The sequence below is a fragment of the Homo sapiens genome, chromosome 1 (genome assembly GCF_000001405.40).
Source record: "Homo sapiens chromosome 1, GRCh38.p14 Primary Assembly".
In the NCBI taxonomy this organism is placed as follows: domain Eukaryota; kingdom Metazoa; phylum Chordata; class Mammalia; order Primates; family Hominidae; genus Homo; species Homo sapiens.
Genome location: NC_000001.11, coordinates 241641485 through 241658585, shown reverse-complemented (window position 1 = coordinate 241658585; position 17101 = coordinate 241641485). Strand labels below are relative to the sequence as shown.

The 17101-nt window shown below is 41.7% G+C and overlaps 1 protein-coding gene across 4 annotated transcripts in view; it reads right to left on the bottom strand.

The window, feature by feature from the left end:
• Positions 1-6305, bottom strand: part of WDR64 (WD repeat domain 64) — a 150497-nt gene extending 144192 nt beyond the window's left edge. For all 4 annotated transcript variants that reach the window (NM_001367482.1, XM_011544087.3, XM_011544091.2 and 1 more), the window contains exon 1: positions 5957-6305. In NM_001367482.1, coding sequence (NP_001354411.1) covers positions 5957-6101 — 145 coding nt within the window. In that variant the 5' untranslated portion in view covers positions 6102-6305. The remainder of the gene's footprint in view (positions 1-5956) is intronic.
• Positions 6306-17101: the final 10796 nt, after the last annotated feature.

The window sequence follows — 17101 nt, the reverse complement described above, 5'->3', positions numbered from 1 at the left end:
CTCACTGCAGCTTTTACCTCCCAGGATCAAGTGATCCTCCCAGCTCAACCCCCCAAGTAGCTGGGACTACAGGCACCCACCACCACACCCACCTAATATTTTATTTTTTGCAGAGACAGGGTCTCACTATGTTACAGCCCAGGCTGGTCTCAGACTCCTAGCTTCAAGCGATCCTCCCACTTCAGCCTCCCAAAGTGCTGGGATTACAGATGTGAGCCACTGTGCCTGGTGAGCAATTCTTAACTGGTTCTTAAACTCTATGTAAACACATACACACACACACACACACACACACACACACCATTGCTTGAATCTTGATTTTGTCAAATTTCGTAATTCCCTGGGGTAAGACTATTGAATCTAAGGACAAGAAGGAATTAGATGTGAGGCTTTCTCAAACTGTATAGACAAGATCAGATGGTTTTATTTAGTTAAAAATATGAGTATCTGTTATGTGTAAGAACTGAGCCAGACATTGGGCTTAGAATAGAAAATTAGATAAGCAAGATCCCTGCCCTCAGGGAGCTTATATTATAGCAGGAAATCAGAAAAGTATCAAGTGAACAAACTATTTACAGATTGTGACAGGCAAGGCTAATTAATAAAGATAGACATTACATCAGTGGTTACCTGTGTATAAGGTGAAAAGCAGTATTGCTGCAAAAGGCATGAGGGAACTTTCTGGGATGCTAGAAATGTTCCCTGTCTTGATCTGGATGGTGGCTAAAGGTGTGTTTACCAAGGTTCAAGTTTACAGAGCTACCTCCTTCAGAAGAGTACATTTTATGGGCTTTATTATATGTATGTCAAGCTCAGTAACGAAGTTAAAATAAACAAGTTGTTGTAGAATAAGCACAAAAAAGGAAAGCAGTAGGGAGCTGTGATAAAATTGTATGGTGGTGGCAGGTAGGGGTAGACCTCAGGGAAGGCCTCTTTAAGGAGGTGGGTAAAAGAATTAAGCTGAGACCTGATGAGCAAAAAAAGGGTCAGCCACATAGAAAGCTAGACAAGAGCCTTTTAGGCAGAGGCTGATCAACACGAAGGCCTGTGGCTGCACAGGCTTGGCATGTTCCAAGAAGGTCAGTAGGTATGAGGTACCTACAGTGAGGACTGCGGAAAATGCTGTGAGGTGAGACCAGGGGCGAAGGAGGGCAGAGCTAGAGTCAGAAGCGGGTATTTTATTTTAAGCATGATGGTAAGATGTCTTTGGGGTGTTTTATGGGGTGAAATGATATAATATGCCCTTAAAAAATTTTAAAGCACACTTGCTGCTGCTAGGAGGCCAGATGGAAAGACGTAAAACTAGTGGAGGGCAATTGCACTAGTGTAGGCTTCAGAAAATGGAGGTTTGGGCCAGGGTAACACTGAGGGTGACTGCACATCCTGGGCTGCCATGGAAAGTCTCGTTTATGCCTCTTTTTAAAATTATTAATAACATTCCCTTTCAGTCTTGAAAGTGTCCCCAGTTGGATGGTAAGTGGCACCCTAGAATACAGGCACCCTAGAGATAGTAGTGGAGATGGTAATATATGGTTGGAAGTAGTAGAATTGTAAAGATATGCTAGTGGGTTGGAAGTTTTGGGGGCAGAAGTGGTAAGCAAAGGAAAGGCAGGAATCTAGAGCAGTGGTTCTTATGCAGGGGAGATTTTGCACCTCACCTCCATCCCCAGACAGACACACACACACACACACACACACACACACACACACACACAACATTTGGCAAAGACTTGAGACATTTTTGACTGTCACAACTAGGAGTAGGTGTGCTACTGGCATCTAGTGAGTAGAGGCCAAGGACGCTGCTTAACATCCTACAATGCACAAGACAGCCCCCACCCTAGGCCCCCAACTCCACACACGCACACATATACAAATAATTATTTAGCCAAAACATCAGTAGTGCCAAGGTTAAGATACCTGGTTCTAGAATGACACTCAGGTTTCCAGTTTCAAAACTCAGCAAATGTTGATCTATTTACCAAAAGCAAGGCAATGGGAAGAAGATTGTTGGGGAAAATAAAGCACTCTATTTTGGTAATATTGAGTCAGAAATTCTCATGAGGCATCTGAACAGTTCCTTAGCTGTTTTATATTTATTTACACCAACTGCTACAAGATATGAGTTTCATTGTAAATATCACTGGATGAGGATAATGAGACTTTCTTTGTCCTGGGATAAAATTAATTCCCCCAGGTCACTCACAAGATCTAAGAGCATTACTTTTGAACAAATTCCTTCAATCTACTTGATATCATTTCTGAGGCAGACCCTGTTCCATTAAAAACATTCTCTCTAGTTCTTAGTTCCTTGCCTGTAATAGTGAGAGGGAGACCTTATTTTCCAATATTGGTTAATAAATATGAATTTGTGCCAGACATTATTAACAGCCTGACAAAAGTGAAGATGACATTTCTGCCTTCTCCTCACTCTTTCTTAGGCCGCCCCGTGATAGAAGGTAACTTGTCTAGCAGTATGCAGTTTTCATCAAATCTTGAAAACTATAGAGAAAGGAAATTTTCAGTGTGGCTTTGTGATTGCAAGTTTCTTAATGAGAGCAAGGTCAACTTGTGCATTTAGAACACATTGAAGGAGTACCTTCTGGACACCAGGCCCTGTGCCAGCCTGAGGTTCACAAAGCCTTCAAAACAACCACAGGCCAATGGTGGAGGATAAGGGGCAGGAACGAATGAACACATTAATATCAACTTTAGCAGGTTAAATGAAGCAGGTAAATTCCCCGAGATGGCAATAAAGTGCATGAACAGTGCTGAGGATGGCTTTGCTTAGGGAAAGTTCAGAAGTTTTTACAAAGAGGTGACATTTGATTTGGGTCTTGAAAGATGAGGAAGAGTTTACAGGCATCAAAAAAAAAAAAAGAAAAGAAAAAAAGGCACTCCATATTGGGGAATGACATGCGCAAAATCAGAGTCATTAAGAGCATGTTTGGAAATGCCAAGAAGTTTGTTTTAGGGCAGAAGGTGCATGAAGGGAAATGCCAGGAGTTGAGACTGAAAAGCTGGGCTGAGGCAAGCTGTGAATGACCTTGCATGCTTTGTTAGTATATGTGGATTTTAGAGGTGAGCTAATAAACCAGGAATATGGCACATTGATAATTTTTAAAATGAAAAACTCTTGGCAGAAGTATAGAGAAATGATTAACTTGGCAAAAAGACTATTTTTTGGGGGGTGAGGGGGGACAGAGTCTCTCTCTGTAGCCCAGGCTGGAGTGCAGTGGTGCGATCTTGGCTCACTGCAACCTCTGCCTCCCGGGTCCTGGTTCAAGCAATTCTCCTGGCTTAGCCTCCCGAGTAGCTGGGACTACAGGCACACGTCACCATGCCCAGCTAATTTTTGTATTTTTAGTAGAGACAGGGTTTCATCATGTTGGCAAGGCTGGTCTTGAACTCCTGACTTCGTGATCCGCCCACCTTGGCCTCCCAAAGTGCTGAGATTATAGGCGTGAGCCACCGCGCCTGGCCAAGAAGACTATTACAGTAATAGGCTGTTGTAATAAGCCAAGAGATAGATACCATGACATAGTGAAAGGTTACAGAGTTTGAGTATCCATTATCCAAAATACTTCGAACTAGAAGTGTTTCAGATTATGGATTTTTTTCAGATTTTGGGATATTTACATATACTGTACATAGTGAGATATCTTGGGAATAGGACACAAGTTTAAACACAAAATTTATTTACACTTAATATACACCCCTTATACATATAGCCTGGAGGTAATTTTATACAATAGTTTTAATAATTCTGTGCATGAAACAAAGTTTGTATGCATTGAATCATCAGAAAGCAAATATTAATATGCCCCTATCTCATGTCAGCTCTCAAAAAGTTTTGAATTTTGGAGCATTTTAGATTTTGGATTTTGGGATCAGGGATGCTCAGCCTATACAGCCTATACCAAGATATCTGGCTTAGGAAACTAGTTAGATGGTAGCTATGCTCTAAGACTGAGAGAGAACACAGTAGGCAAAGCTCAAGGAGAAAAAGAAGCAAAGAAAGAATTGAGATGGGAAAAATAAGAATGATGTGATGAAAGACGCAGGATAAGGAAGTTTCTTGAAGCAGAGGCAGCTAACAGTGTTAATCTAGTGCAATGGCCAAGTAGGCTGGAAAATGAAAACAATTTATTGAATTTGGCAACTATATTAGCTTATCACATAGCTTGGTTAGAGCATTTTCAGCAAAGTGATCAGAGAAGCCAGACCTGAGTAGATTGAAAGTTAAGTGGTGATATTGTCAGGAAATTCAGTGGAGAAGGAAAGGAGAGGCATACAGTGGTAGCTTAAAGAAAAGAGAAAGTCAAGGTCATGATGCTTGAGTATATTTTTAGACTGAGAGGACAAATCCAGTAGAAAAGGAGATTTTGAAGCTGCTGCAGCAAACTGATAGCTTTGAAGGGGAGGAGAAATAGAAAGGACAGCTGCTGCTTTCAGTGATTCAGAAGTGGAAAAGGGGGGTTTGAGAGAATTCTTGTCTTTTGACCTTGCTTTCTTTTATGACGTAGAAAACTTGGCTGAGAGAAGCAGACATCCCATAGAGAATTCAGAAAAAGTGTCAAGGGTTTGAAAAACCAATTAGAGAGAGGTAAAACAAACTGACTAGGAAAAAATGCAAGTTTTGTTGAGTAGTTTAGAAGGCCCAGTCAAGTTCCCAATCACCGAAAAAGCATATCCAAAAGGTCCAAGTCTTAGCTTTAACACTTAGAAGTTGGGTGACTTTGGCCGGGCACGGTGGCTCACACCTGTAATCCCAGCACTTTGGGAGGCCATGGCAGGTGGATCACCTGAGGTCAAGAGTTCAAGACCAGCCTGGCCAACATGGTGAAACCCCGTCTCTACTAAAAATACAAAAAATTAGCCGGGTGTGGTGGTGGGTGCCTGTAATCCCAGCTACTTGGGAGGCTGAGGCAGGAGAATCACTTGAACCTGGGAGGCAGAGGTTGCAGAGAGCCGAGATCGCACCATTTCACTCCAGCCTGGGCAATAGGAATGAAACTCCGTCTCAGAAAAAAAAAAAAAAAGAAAAGAAAAGAAAAGAATTTGGGTAACTTGGGCAAATGATTTATCTTCAGCTCCCATTTTTTCCACAAATAAAATGAACATAATGACATTGATTAACATGACTATAAATTATTAAATACTATTCAATTAATACCAGCTTGGGTTTGAACACCCAAAGTCAAGATTTTCACTTACAAATTACTATGCAGCCTGGCACACTCAGAGGCTGGCTATACTATCCCTTTAGCAATTATATGGGCTCTGCTCCTTTCATTGCAACAGCAGGGTTTGTTCTGTTAGTCTTTCACTCTGCCATGTAGCTTTATTTTTCACAGCTGTCCTCAATACGCCAAAGCTGTACACTACACCACTCCCCTTGAATCTTGTCTATGCACTGGCATCTCTGCTGCAAATCCTCCTGTAAGACCACTGTCCACCATATTCTCCTTAGCTTGCATCCTCAAGATCATTCCTGCCTAGAGATATGGAGAGTGGCCAAGACAATGGAATCATGGTGAGGCAGGAAGCTGCACTTCTTATGAAAGTCTTTATGGTCTCATGATATCTTTAGGCTAAGAAAAAGCAGTGCTATACATTACTGAGCATCCCAGGTCAACCAGTGAGCCATCAAATGGCAGCGTCTACAGAAGAACACTGGACGTCATTTAATCCAATCCCATAGTTTTACAATTGAAGCAACTTCGGTTCAGAGAAGTAAAAAAAAAAAACAAAAACAAAAACAAAACAAAACAAAAGCTTCCTCATGTCCGCTTTGTTATTTAGGGACAGAGAAAGAACAAGAACTGAGGTCTTCATCCCCTTTCAGCACCCATTCTTTCACATTAAGCTCTGATGCTTCTCTCTGATGGCTTAAAACATTTTCCAGTTCTAACCAACAGACCCAATTGGACTATCGTGTAATCACTGATCTTACCTTCTTTATGGATAAATAAGCCTGCTCTTTCATCTCTTTTCTGGGCTGCTGTTTGTTCAACCAATTTTTCAAACCTGTTCAAAGCCTTTTTGAAATTGCTCATCTGAAGTGCCATGTTGAGACGCTTTTCCTTCCTGATATCCATAGGGACATAGGGGATCTTTTACTTCTGTACAGAAAGAATACTGCAAGTTTACCAATTTGGAAAACTTTCCAGTTGTTACAGTGCCTCCCTGCTGTCTCAGTTTTTGCCCTAGGTCTAATTCCTTTGATCTTAAAATCCCATAGTGCGGGTAGGAGTAAGAGTTGCCACTAGGATGTTAGCAGGGAGGAAAGCTGATTTAGGTCTGATGCATTTCATACAGACAAACATTTCAGTAAAAATCCTGACCTCACAATGTCATCAGTGTCCTTCATAGGGTCCTCATTGCATCATAATATCTCTGTAACATCCTACTTCCTTCATAAGGAGGAGATTGAGATATTTTTTTCCCCACAGACTGTGTGTGTGTGTGCGCGTGCACATGTGTGTGTTGTGTATACTGCTTGAGAGGGAAAAGGAATGAGTAAATAACAAGTAAGAAAACTGGGTAATACTTTCTCCCTCGTGTATCTCTTCTCACCTCAAACCTTTTGCCTTCCTCACAATACCGCGGAAAGTAAAGTTTGGCCAGGCACGGCGGCTCATTCTTGTAATCCCAGCACTTTGGGAGGCCGAGGTGGGTGGACCACCTGAGGTCAGGAGTTCAAGACCAGCCTGGCCAACATGGTGAAACCCCCGTCTCTACTAAAAATACAAAAATTAGCTGGATGTGGTGGCGGGCACCTGTGATCTCAGCTACTCAGGAGGCTGAGGCAAGAGAATCACTTGAACCTGGGAGTCAGAGGTTACAGTGAGTTGAGATCACACCACTGCACTCCAACCTGGGTGACAGAGTGAGACTTCCTCTCAAAAAAAAAAAAAAGTAATATTCACACTTATTCTTGCCACTGTACTGGATATGGAAATTCGAACTTCTAAAGATGAAATGTATTTCAGCACCTGTCATTTCTACCACAAACATTTTTAGAGGTCATAGGGAATACAAATGCTCTTCTTCCTTTGTGCATTGTCCTTCGATTGAAATAATAAAGTGAGCCAAGGATAAGGAAGGAGTGGCTTCTGATTATGAGGACAGCTTTTCAAGGTAAGAGGTCAGATGAATTAGAAGAGGCCTTTCTGCACATCTCCTTCCCAGTCATTGCAATCTCCAATCCGACTTAGTCCAAATGCTATTGACTCCGGTTTTCCAATTTTCAACTTTTTATGGGAAGGAGAAGTTGTTTAATGTTTCTCAACAATTAGTTAACTTCCTATGGCTTAGGTGAGTTAGATAAATTTCCTACCCCTTGGTAGTCCATCTTTTAAAACATTCTTCAAGAACTTGCATTCAGAGATGAAGCAGATGGCATTTCAGAGCACCTCCAATTCCAGTACTGTCTTCTTGGTGTCCACCTCTAACTATCTGTTAGGAGAGCGCAGTAAGATTTTATTTAAAGAAAAATCCCCCAACCCCATTTGTTTCTCCTCCTTTTTCCTTTAAAGCTTTCAAACCACTGTACAGTGATGTCTGGAGAACCACTCTTCCTACAATTCTAATGCATTCACCATTAATTCATCTAGGAAATATTTACTGAATACACACTTCATGCTAGAGGCTGTTTTAGACACTAAGGATACAGCAGTGAATAAAATAGCTTCTCAAGTTTATAGACTAATGCAGAAGACAGACAAACAAATAAATAATGTATCAGTGAGCAATTGTGCTACGAAGAGAGAGGAATTTTGTGTGTATTAGGGTGGGGGTAAAAATCAAAGTAAAAGAGGTAGGGAGATCAGGGAATTCCCCATTAATAGAAAGATTTCTGGGCAGAAACCTGAAAGAAGTGAGGTAGCAAGTCATGTGGATAAATGGTAGAAGGATGTTCTAGGGACAGCAGGCGTAAAGTCCTGAGATTGGTGTGTGCTTCACATATCTGAGAAACGACAGAGGCCAGTGTGACTGAGGTGGTGTGGGATGAGAGAGAGAGGTAGAGAGAGAAGGCAAGAGAGTCAGGGGGTGGCATCCAGATCACGTAGGATCTTATTGGCTGTTTTAGGACTTTGGCTTTTACTCTGAGATGGGATGTTTTTGAGCAGAACAGTGACATGATCTGACGTGCATTTGAAAAGAATCATTCCAGCTGCTTTGCGGAGAATAAACTGAAAGGGAGAGAGGGTAGAAGCCGGGAAGGCAGTTAAGTGGAAATTTCAGTAATGCAAGTAAGAGATGACAGTGGTTGAGATTAGGGCACTAGTGACGGAGGTTGTGCGAAGTGGTCAGATTGTGTGAAGGTAGATGTGACAGGTGTGCTAATAGATCAGATGGGGGTATGAGAGCAAGAGAAGGATCAGGGACAACTCCAGGGATCCTGGCCCTAAGAAATCAAAAGGATGGAATTATAATTTCCTATGTTTGGGAGGGAGGAATCCAATAGAAGGAGCAGATTGTGGGGAGTGGGGGAAATTAGGATTCAGTTCAGGATATGTTAAGTTTGAGAATTCTATTAGATAAACAATTGTGGATGTTGAATAACCAGACGTAAGAATCCAGGGTTCAGGGGAGAGCTTGGGAGTCATCAGCATTCAGACGGCATTGTATTTAAAGCCATTAGGCTGGATGAGATCACCTGGGAATCAATGCAGATAAAGAAGAAGGCAAGGTGAGGATCAAACCCTGAGCATGCCAGTGTTGGGAGGGCAGAGTGATCAAGAAGAACCACTGAGTAAATAGGAGTGGCTAGTGAGGTACAAGGAGAACCAAGAGAAAGGATCATCCTAGAAGCCAAGAAGAAAAGCTGTTTTGAAAAGGAAAGAGCCACTGGATGGATAATCCAGTTTATTCAATAAAGAAATTGCATAGGAAGACAAAAGGAAGGAGGAGGGGAGCTATAGATTAAAAAGGACTTTAAAGAAACACCATCCAACCACAGTGTGTGGACTGTATTTAGATCTTGACTCAACAACCAAACTTAAAAAGAGTTTAAAATACATGAGACAATTGGAAATTGGAACGCCAAGTAGATATTTGATGATAATAATAAATTATTGTTCATTGTTTAGATTTAATAATTATATTTTATGTTATATTGTTTGTCTTAGTCCATTCCTGCTGCTATAACAAAATGCCTTGGACTGGATAATTTATCAACAACAGAAATTTCTCCCAGTTCTGAAGGCTGGGAAGTCCAAAATCAAGGCTCCAGCAGATTCTGTATCTAGTGAGGGCCTGTTCCTCATAGATGGTGCCTTTTAGGTGTCCTCATATGGTGGAAGGGACAAACAGGTCCCCTCAAGCCCTGTCATGAAGGCACTAATCCCATTTATGGGGGTGAAACCCTCATGACCTAATGACCTCCGAAAGGTTCCAACTCTTAGTACCATCACCTTGGAGTTAGGTTTCAACATATGAATTTCGGGGGGACATAAACGTTTGGACCATAGCACTGTTATTTATGTGATGTTGTATTTTAGAACCAGATACTGAAATATCTATGGATAAGCATTAAAGTATGAAGGAGCAGTCAACCTTGCCAAGTACTGCTGAGGGCCTACGTAAGATGAGGACTGAAAATTAACCATTGGAACGTGGATGCTAGTGACCTTGAGAAAGCCTACCTCAGTGGAATGGTGGGCTAAACAGAGTAGGAGGAGGAGACGTGTTGATAGTAGGTATAAATGCACATTATGGCAGAAGCTTTTGGGAACATCTTTGCTGTTATATGCAGGAGCAAGTCACAGCTATTATGGTCATTTATAGAGCTACCGGATGCATTTGTGCTTATATTTTCTCGGTTGCGGAAATGATGTGGCCACAGATTTAAAGAACATTGAAAATCACTCATGTTCCTACACTCTTACAAAACTATTAATTTTAGAAAATTGCCTTCTAAGCCCAGACCACATACTTTGATAATTTTAGTTTCAACAGAACTATGCACATTATTTAAATTTTAATGTACAACTTCATAAACCTGTCCCTGTGTTTCTAATGTCCTTCATAAGTGTATATTTTTCTTTAATACCTATTTTTCTCAATGAAGTATTTTGCTATTTTATTATTTTTTACATATAAATGACCATGAAAGGCAGTCATTTTAAAGAGCCAGAGGCAAACACACACCTAGCTGTGTAAACAAAGAAATGATATTGGCACTGTCAGAAAAAGACTCTAGAAAAAAGCAGGTGGAATAATTGCTGTGAGTTAGTTTGGCTTCAGCTTCCATGAATGTTATAAGGGCCCGTATGAGGAAGGAGTGCTACCATGACACAAGGCCCATGGTTGGGTCCTCAGCTGGTCTGTTGTGTAGGCCTGGTACCAGTCATCTGGCAGAAATGCTATTGGAGCAATAGGTTGCTCTGGATTTTCTGCTTCTGGGTTCATGATGGCCAACTCCAGTTTCCAGGATAAATCAATGAAGAACTCCTTTGCGGTGAAATGAGTATACTCAGCTAATGCCTATGGCAGGGGACAAAGAGGTAGGCAGGAGCTTCAACAGTACATGGCCCTTGGTGACCAGGTACTGTTAAGAATCTGGGCAAGGCTCACCCTTACATTTTCAGAATAAAAAGATGACACAAGAGCAGAAGCCATCTTGGTGACCACACTCCTCAACACGGCTGTCTCTTGAGTCATATCCCTGCAGTCTGGACTGATGCCTTATACACACAGGGGCATGGCTGTCCTGCTACCATCCCCCTTCATCATCATTTTGAGAATTCCCTCATCCTCAAGCTTATATACTATGTCTTTCCTCACCATGATTTATTCCCTCATTTTGGTGACTCATATTCAGAAATAGGGCCTGGAAGATAGATATGTTTTTGATAGTTGCATATCTGAAAACATCCTGATCTTTCCTTGCACTTTGTTGATATTTGGTTGGGTACAGAATTTTAGGTTGGAAATTATTTTCTTTAAATATTTTGAAGATATTACTCCATTGTCTTTTTGCTTCTAGTGTTGCTGTTAGAAGGACTGTATTCTGATCAGCTTCCGTTGCTGATTATAAGCTATTCTGATCCCTGATGCTTTGTCCATAGCTTGTTTTAATCTTCCTCCCTCAGGAAACTTATAAATGTTCTCTTTGACCCCAGTGTACCAAACTTCCACTATAATGGGTGTTGGTGTGGAGATATATATATATATGTAAATTAATCATAACTTCACTAACCAGTTTCTTCTGGAAATTGTTTACTCTTCCCTACCTCCTCTGTCATGTAAACTGCATTTTTTTTTTTTAAGACGGAGTCCTGCTCTGTCACCCAGGCTGGAGTGCAGTGGCGCGATCTCGGCTCACTGCAAGCTCCACCTCCTGGGTTCACGCCATTCTCCCGCCTCAGCCTCCTGAGTAGCTGGGACTACAGGTGCCTGCTACCACGCCCGGCTAATTTTTTCTGTAGAGACGGGGTTTCACCATGTTAGCCAGGATGGTCTCGATCTCCTGACCTCGTGATCCGTCCGCCTCAGCCTCCCAAAGTGCTGGGATTACAGGTATGAGTCACTGTGCCCAGCCATAAACTCCATTTTTTAACAGCAATGTAACAAGTGAGATTTTATTTTAAAAACAAATGTATGTATTTGGGGGTTGAGTGGATGTGGACAGATACACAGTTTATGTATTAAGCTGATCCCTACATCTCACCCATCTGAGGAGCTGTATGCACCAGGAGCATTGACATTCAGAAACTTAAGGCATGCTAGATTCTCCTTTTTTTAAAAAAAAGTTCAAGCACATCCACTAAATTGCATTTCCTAAGGTAGGAAAAGTGCATACATGTTTCACAAGATTTTCAGTAAGGGCTCTTCTGCTGCTCACCAGAGACCAAGGTTAGAGGGGCCAGGGAAGAATGTGTCTCAACCCTGGGAAAAGGAATGCTTGATGGAAGTTCCCTCTCTGTTGTCCCCTTATGATGCAGAAGGCTAGGGGTTATCAGTTTCCAAACAAGAATGTCAAATGAAACGTGTCTCCATTCCTCGCTCCCCTATACTTTGCAAAGGACTTCCTTGGAATATAGGTATTGTGATAATTTAATGTTCCAATGTAAGAGGGTGTTTAGAGGGTTTTAAATGAACCTCTTTCTGTCTAAAGGACAGGCTAGACGGCCCACGCGGGAGGATGTGTGCAGTCACTGGGAACCAGTTCCGCAAGCATTAGCTCCTGCTCACCTTCAAACTATTTAAGAGAAGGCAACGAGTTCATTAGGAGCTCAAGGATATCCTTAATGAGCACTTCCACAGAGAGAGTGTTCAGCATGGAGGAGCCATGACATCTCCCCATTTCTTTCCATCCCAGGGGCACTGACAGGGAGAGTCTGGGGCTGGCCAGCTCTCTGCAGCAGACCACTTCCAGAATTTGGCAGGGCAAAAGATGCATACATATGTACAGAGGAACAGACGCTAGACTCTCAGTAGAGGGGCCAGACTGGGTCAGCTTGGGAGGGTCCCCAAGCAGGGTCAGAGAGTGAGATCCCAGCAGACAGCTACTAAAGGCATTGCCTCTGTCGAGAGAGTTGTGTGAGAAAGATGCCAGAGATCTCAATTTCTCTAGAGAACCTGAAAATCATCCTAGAAGAGAAAAACCCAACATTTAAAACTTGCTACAACCAGAGAGCACTAATATCAATTATTTTTAAAAGACAAAGTTGCAATCTGTTGCCCAGGCTGGATTGCTGTCTCCTGGGTTCAAGTGATTCTTCTGACTCAGCCTCCTGAGTAGCTGGGATTACAGGTGCATGCCACCTCACCTGGCTAATTTTCATATTTTTAGTAGAGATAGGATTTCACCATGTTGGCCAGGCTGGTCTCGAACTCCTGACCTCAAGTGATCTGCCCATCTCGGCCTCCCAAAGTGCTGGGATTACAGGCGTGAGCCACCGTGCCTGGCAGAGAGCACCAATATCAGACTACAACTTAACCAATCAAGGAAGATTTTTTTTCCCTCACAATCTCAAAGGGGCCCAGAGCAGCATCTACAGGTAGCGAGCGGATCAAGAAAATGGGGGAAGCTAAAGTTGTTTTCCTTCTCACCTCCACCCTCACAGAAGTTCTCCAGGCCTGAGGCTGGCTGTATCTTGGAGGGTGTGGACAAGCGAGTTTTCCGTGAGTTTTAGCTTTTCAGCATTACAATGTGCTGGCCTTGATGTCAACTGCAAGGGAGCAGAAAAGCTTTGGAAGCTGCCAAAATTCCATCTAAGGGCAGGAAGGAGCAAATGGTCAGAAAACATTTGAAATGAGTAGGGAGAACAAGCTGCTTTTTGGTTGCAGCATACTGAGTTCAGCTTGCTTCCTCAACTGGTTATAGTAGTTTATTTCTCCCACTCTGAGAGAGTGAAATGCAGGCACAATTTGCACATGCTTTTTTCTTTTTTTAAAAAAAAAAGTGGTAAAATATACATAACATAAAATTTTCCTTTCTAACCATTTTTAAGTATACCATTCAGTGGCATTGTGTACATTTACAATCTTGTGCAACCATTACTACTATTCGTCTCCAGAATTTTTTCGTCATCTTAAACAGAAACTCTCTACCCATTAAACACTAACTTCTTATTCTTCCCTCTTCTCAGCTTCTGGTAACCACCATTCTACTTTCTGTCTCTGTGAATTTGCCTGTTATAGGTACCTCATATCATTGGGATCATATAATATTTGTCCTTTTGTGTTTGGCTTATTTCCCTTATCGTAATGTTTTCAAGGTTCATCCATGTTGTAGCATGTACTAGAATTTCATTTCTTTTAAAATATGGCTGTATAATATTCCATTGTATGTATATATCACATTCCATGTATCATTCATCTGTTGATGGGCATTTGAGTTGTTTCTATTTTTTGGCTATTTTGAATAATCCTATTATGAACATAAGTATACAAATACCTGTTTGAGTCCCTGCTTTCAATTCTTTTGTGTATATACCTAGGAATAGGATTGCTAGATCATATGGCAATTTTTTTTGTTTTGAGACAGGGTCTCACTCTCTTGCCCAGGGTGGAGCGCAGTGACACGATCACAGCTCACTGCAACCTCAAACTCCTGGGCTCAAGGGATCCTTCTGCCTCAGCCTCCTGAATAGTTGGGTGAGACTACAGGTATGTGCCACCACACCCAGCTAATTTTTTATTTTTTTCTGAAGAGATGGGGTCTTACTATGTTGCCCAGGCTGGTCATTGTACTCTTGGCCTCAAGTGATCATCCTGCTTAAGCTTCCCAAAGCACTGGGATTACAGGAATGAGCTCACAATAATTCTATGTTTAACTTTTTGTGGAACTACCAAATTGTCTTCCACAGGAGCCACACCATTTCACATTCCCATCAGCAGTACGACAGGGTTCTAATTTCTACACATCTCCACACAAAAACCAACACTTGTTTTTGTGTTTTGTTTTGTTTTTTGATGATAGCCCTTCTAGTAGGTGTGAAGTGGTATGTCATTGTGGCTTTGATTTGCATTTCCCTAATGACTAATCACAGTAAGTTTCCTTCCATGTGCTTTTAGGCCATTAGTATATTTTTGGAGTAATGTCTACTCAGATCCTTTGCCTATTTCTGAATTGGGTTGTGTGGAGTTTTTTGTTGTTGAGTTGTAGGGGGTCTTTATAATATTGATGCCTTATCAGATATATGACTTGCAAGTATTTCTCCCATTTGCTGTGCTGTCTTTTCACTCTTTTGATAGTGCCCTTTGATGCATAACAGTTTTTAATTTTGATAAAGTCCAATTTAGCTATTTTTCTCCTGTTGCCTGTGCTTTTGGTGTCATACCCAAGAAGTTTTCTTCTAAAAGTTTTATAGTTTTAGCTTTTACATATAGGTCTCCAATCAATTTTGAGTTAATTTTTATATATGATATAATGTAAGGCTCCAACTTCATTCATTTGCACATGGATATGCAGTTTTCCCAGCATCATTTGTTGAAAAGACTGTCCTTTCCTCCTTTCCCCATTGAATGGCCTTGGCATCCTTGTCAAAAATCAATGGACCATATATGTAAGAGTTTATATCTTGGCTCTCTATTCTATTCCATTGGTCTACATGTTTGTCCTTATGCTGTGTATTAGGCTGTTCTTGCACTGCTGTAAATACCTGAGACTGGGTAATTTATAAAGAAAAGCGATTTAATTGGCTCACAGTTCTGCAGGCTGTACAGGAAGCATGGTGTTGGCATCTACTCAGCTTCTGGGGAGGCCTCAGGGAGCTTTTACTCATGGTGGAAGGCAAAGTGAGAGCAGGCATCTCACATGGCGACAACCAGATAGGGAGAGAGAGAGAGAGAGAGTGGGATGGCGGAGTTGCCACACACTTTTAGATGACCAGAGCTCACTTATCACAAAGGGGATGGCCCAGGCCATTCATGAGGGATCCGCCCCCTATGACCAAAACACCTACCACTAGGACCCACCTCTAATATTGGGGATTATATTTCAACATGAGATTTGGGTGGGGACAAACATCCAAACTATATCATGCTGGTGTTTTTCATTTGTTTGTTTTTTGTTTTTTTTTTTAATAAAAGATTGTAGTGTTCTGCCATTATCCTGTCATTACATAATTCTAAAATTAAAAAAGAAACATATATCCTTATCATTGCCTGTTTCTGTCAAGCTCAATAAATGTCCTTAATGGTTCATAGTATTGTAAAATTACTGTGTCAAAAATGCTTAAGCATTTGTCAAAGGCCTCTTACTCCTCCTTTGCATTCACTGCTAGTAGGCATTGCCCTGGACTTTACTCTGATTGAGTAAAAGCCAAAGTCCTTTTATTGAAATGGCCAAGGTCCTGCATATTCTGGCCATTCACTGCACACCCACCTGACTGGCTGCATTTCCCGATTCTCATTCTTGCTTCCTTATTGTTCCTCCAACATACCAATACAGTACTCCTGCCCATAACCACCTTGTCTAAATAACAACCTTGACAGAGCAGGTGCATCACCATCATGGACAAGCACTGCCATTTTAAAGTTCCCCTTGATCAAAAACCACCTAAATCCAAACAGCATCAGCCTAATGGCTAAGGTCAGCATGACCATACACCACAAATGACATCTCCGACCAGAAACATTCCAACCCTAAGATAAACCCCTCCCTGACCAGAGACATGCGAGCCCCGAGATAACCTCCCCTCCGACAGAGACATTCCAACTTGGCAATAAACTTCTTCTCCAAACAGAAACATTCCACGCCTGTGATAAGCTCTCTCACTCTAAAATCCTTAAATACTCTTAGTCTGTAAGAGAGTGCTCCTGACCGAAATCGGCCAGAAGCCCCTCTTAGGTTTATTCTTCCAAATAACACTGTCTGACTGTTGAGCTGCTATTAGTGTTTCTTTCCTCTTTCTTTAACTCTTACAAACTCCTTGCCCCATCTCCCATAGCTCCTGGCTCAACCTCCTGAGTAGCTGGGACCACAGACATGTACCATCTTGCCTGGCTAATTTTCTATTTTTTGAAGAGTTAGGGGGCAGTTCTCACTTTGTTGCCCAGGCTGGTCTTGAACTCCTGGGCTTAAGAAATCCTACTGCCTCGGCCTCCCAAAGTGCTGGGGTTACAGGAATGAGCCACCACGCCTGACCCCTATTTCTTCATGGCATTTGTCAGTGGCTGACACCCTACGTATTTATCTAATTTTTGTTTGTTCTCCCAACACGACTGGAATGTGAGCTTTATAAGGGCAATGACTCAGCAATGAAGAATGAATAGGAAAAAATATAGCGAGTTCTTTATTCATTCATTCAAATTACTATTTATTGAGAACTTACTGTAGACTAGACACAGAAAACACTTTCGACATTAAACATATAGAACTTGTTAAATAGTTATGTTTTGTTCAGTGGTTGTACAAATCTAAAATTAACAATTAAAAGTGTGTGTGTGTTTTTTAAGGGGTGGGTGGGTAGGAAGTCTCACAGATGGCGAGTCCAGAGCAGAAGCCTTGAAGGAAAATCAAGGTGTCAAAGGCAGAGCACACTGCCCCTTAGCTATTGCTCAGTGCACCAGGGTGGAGAGCTGCTGCCAGCCTATTAGATCCTCTCTCCAGGGAATTCAGAATGTGGATTGATCCAAGCTA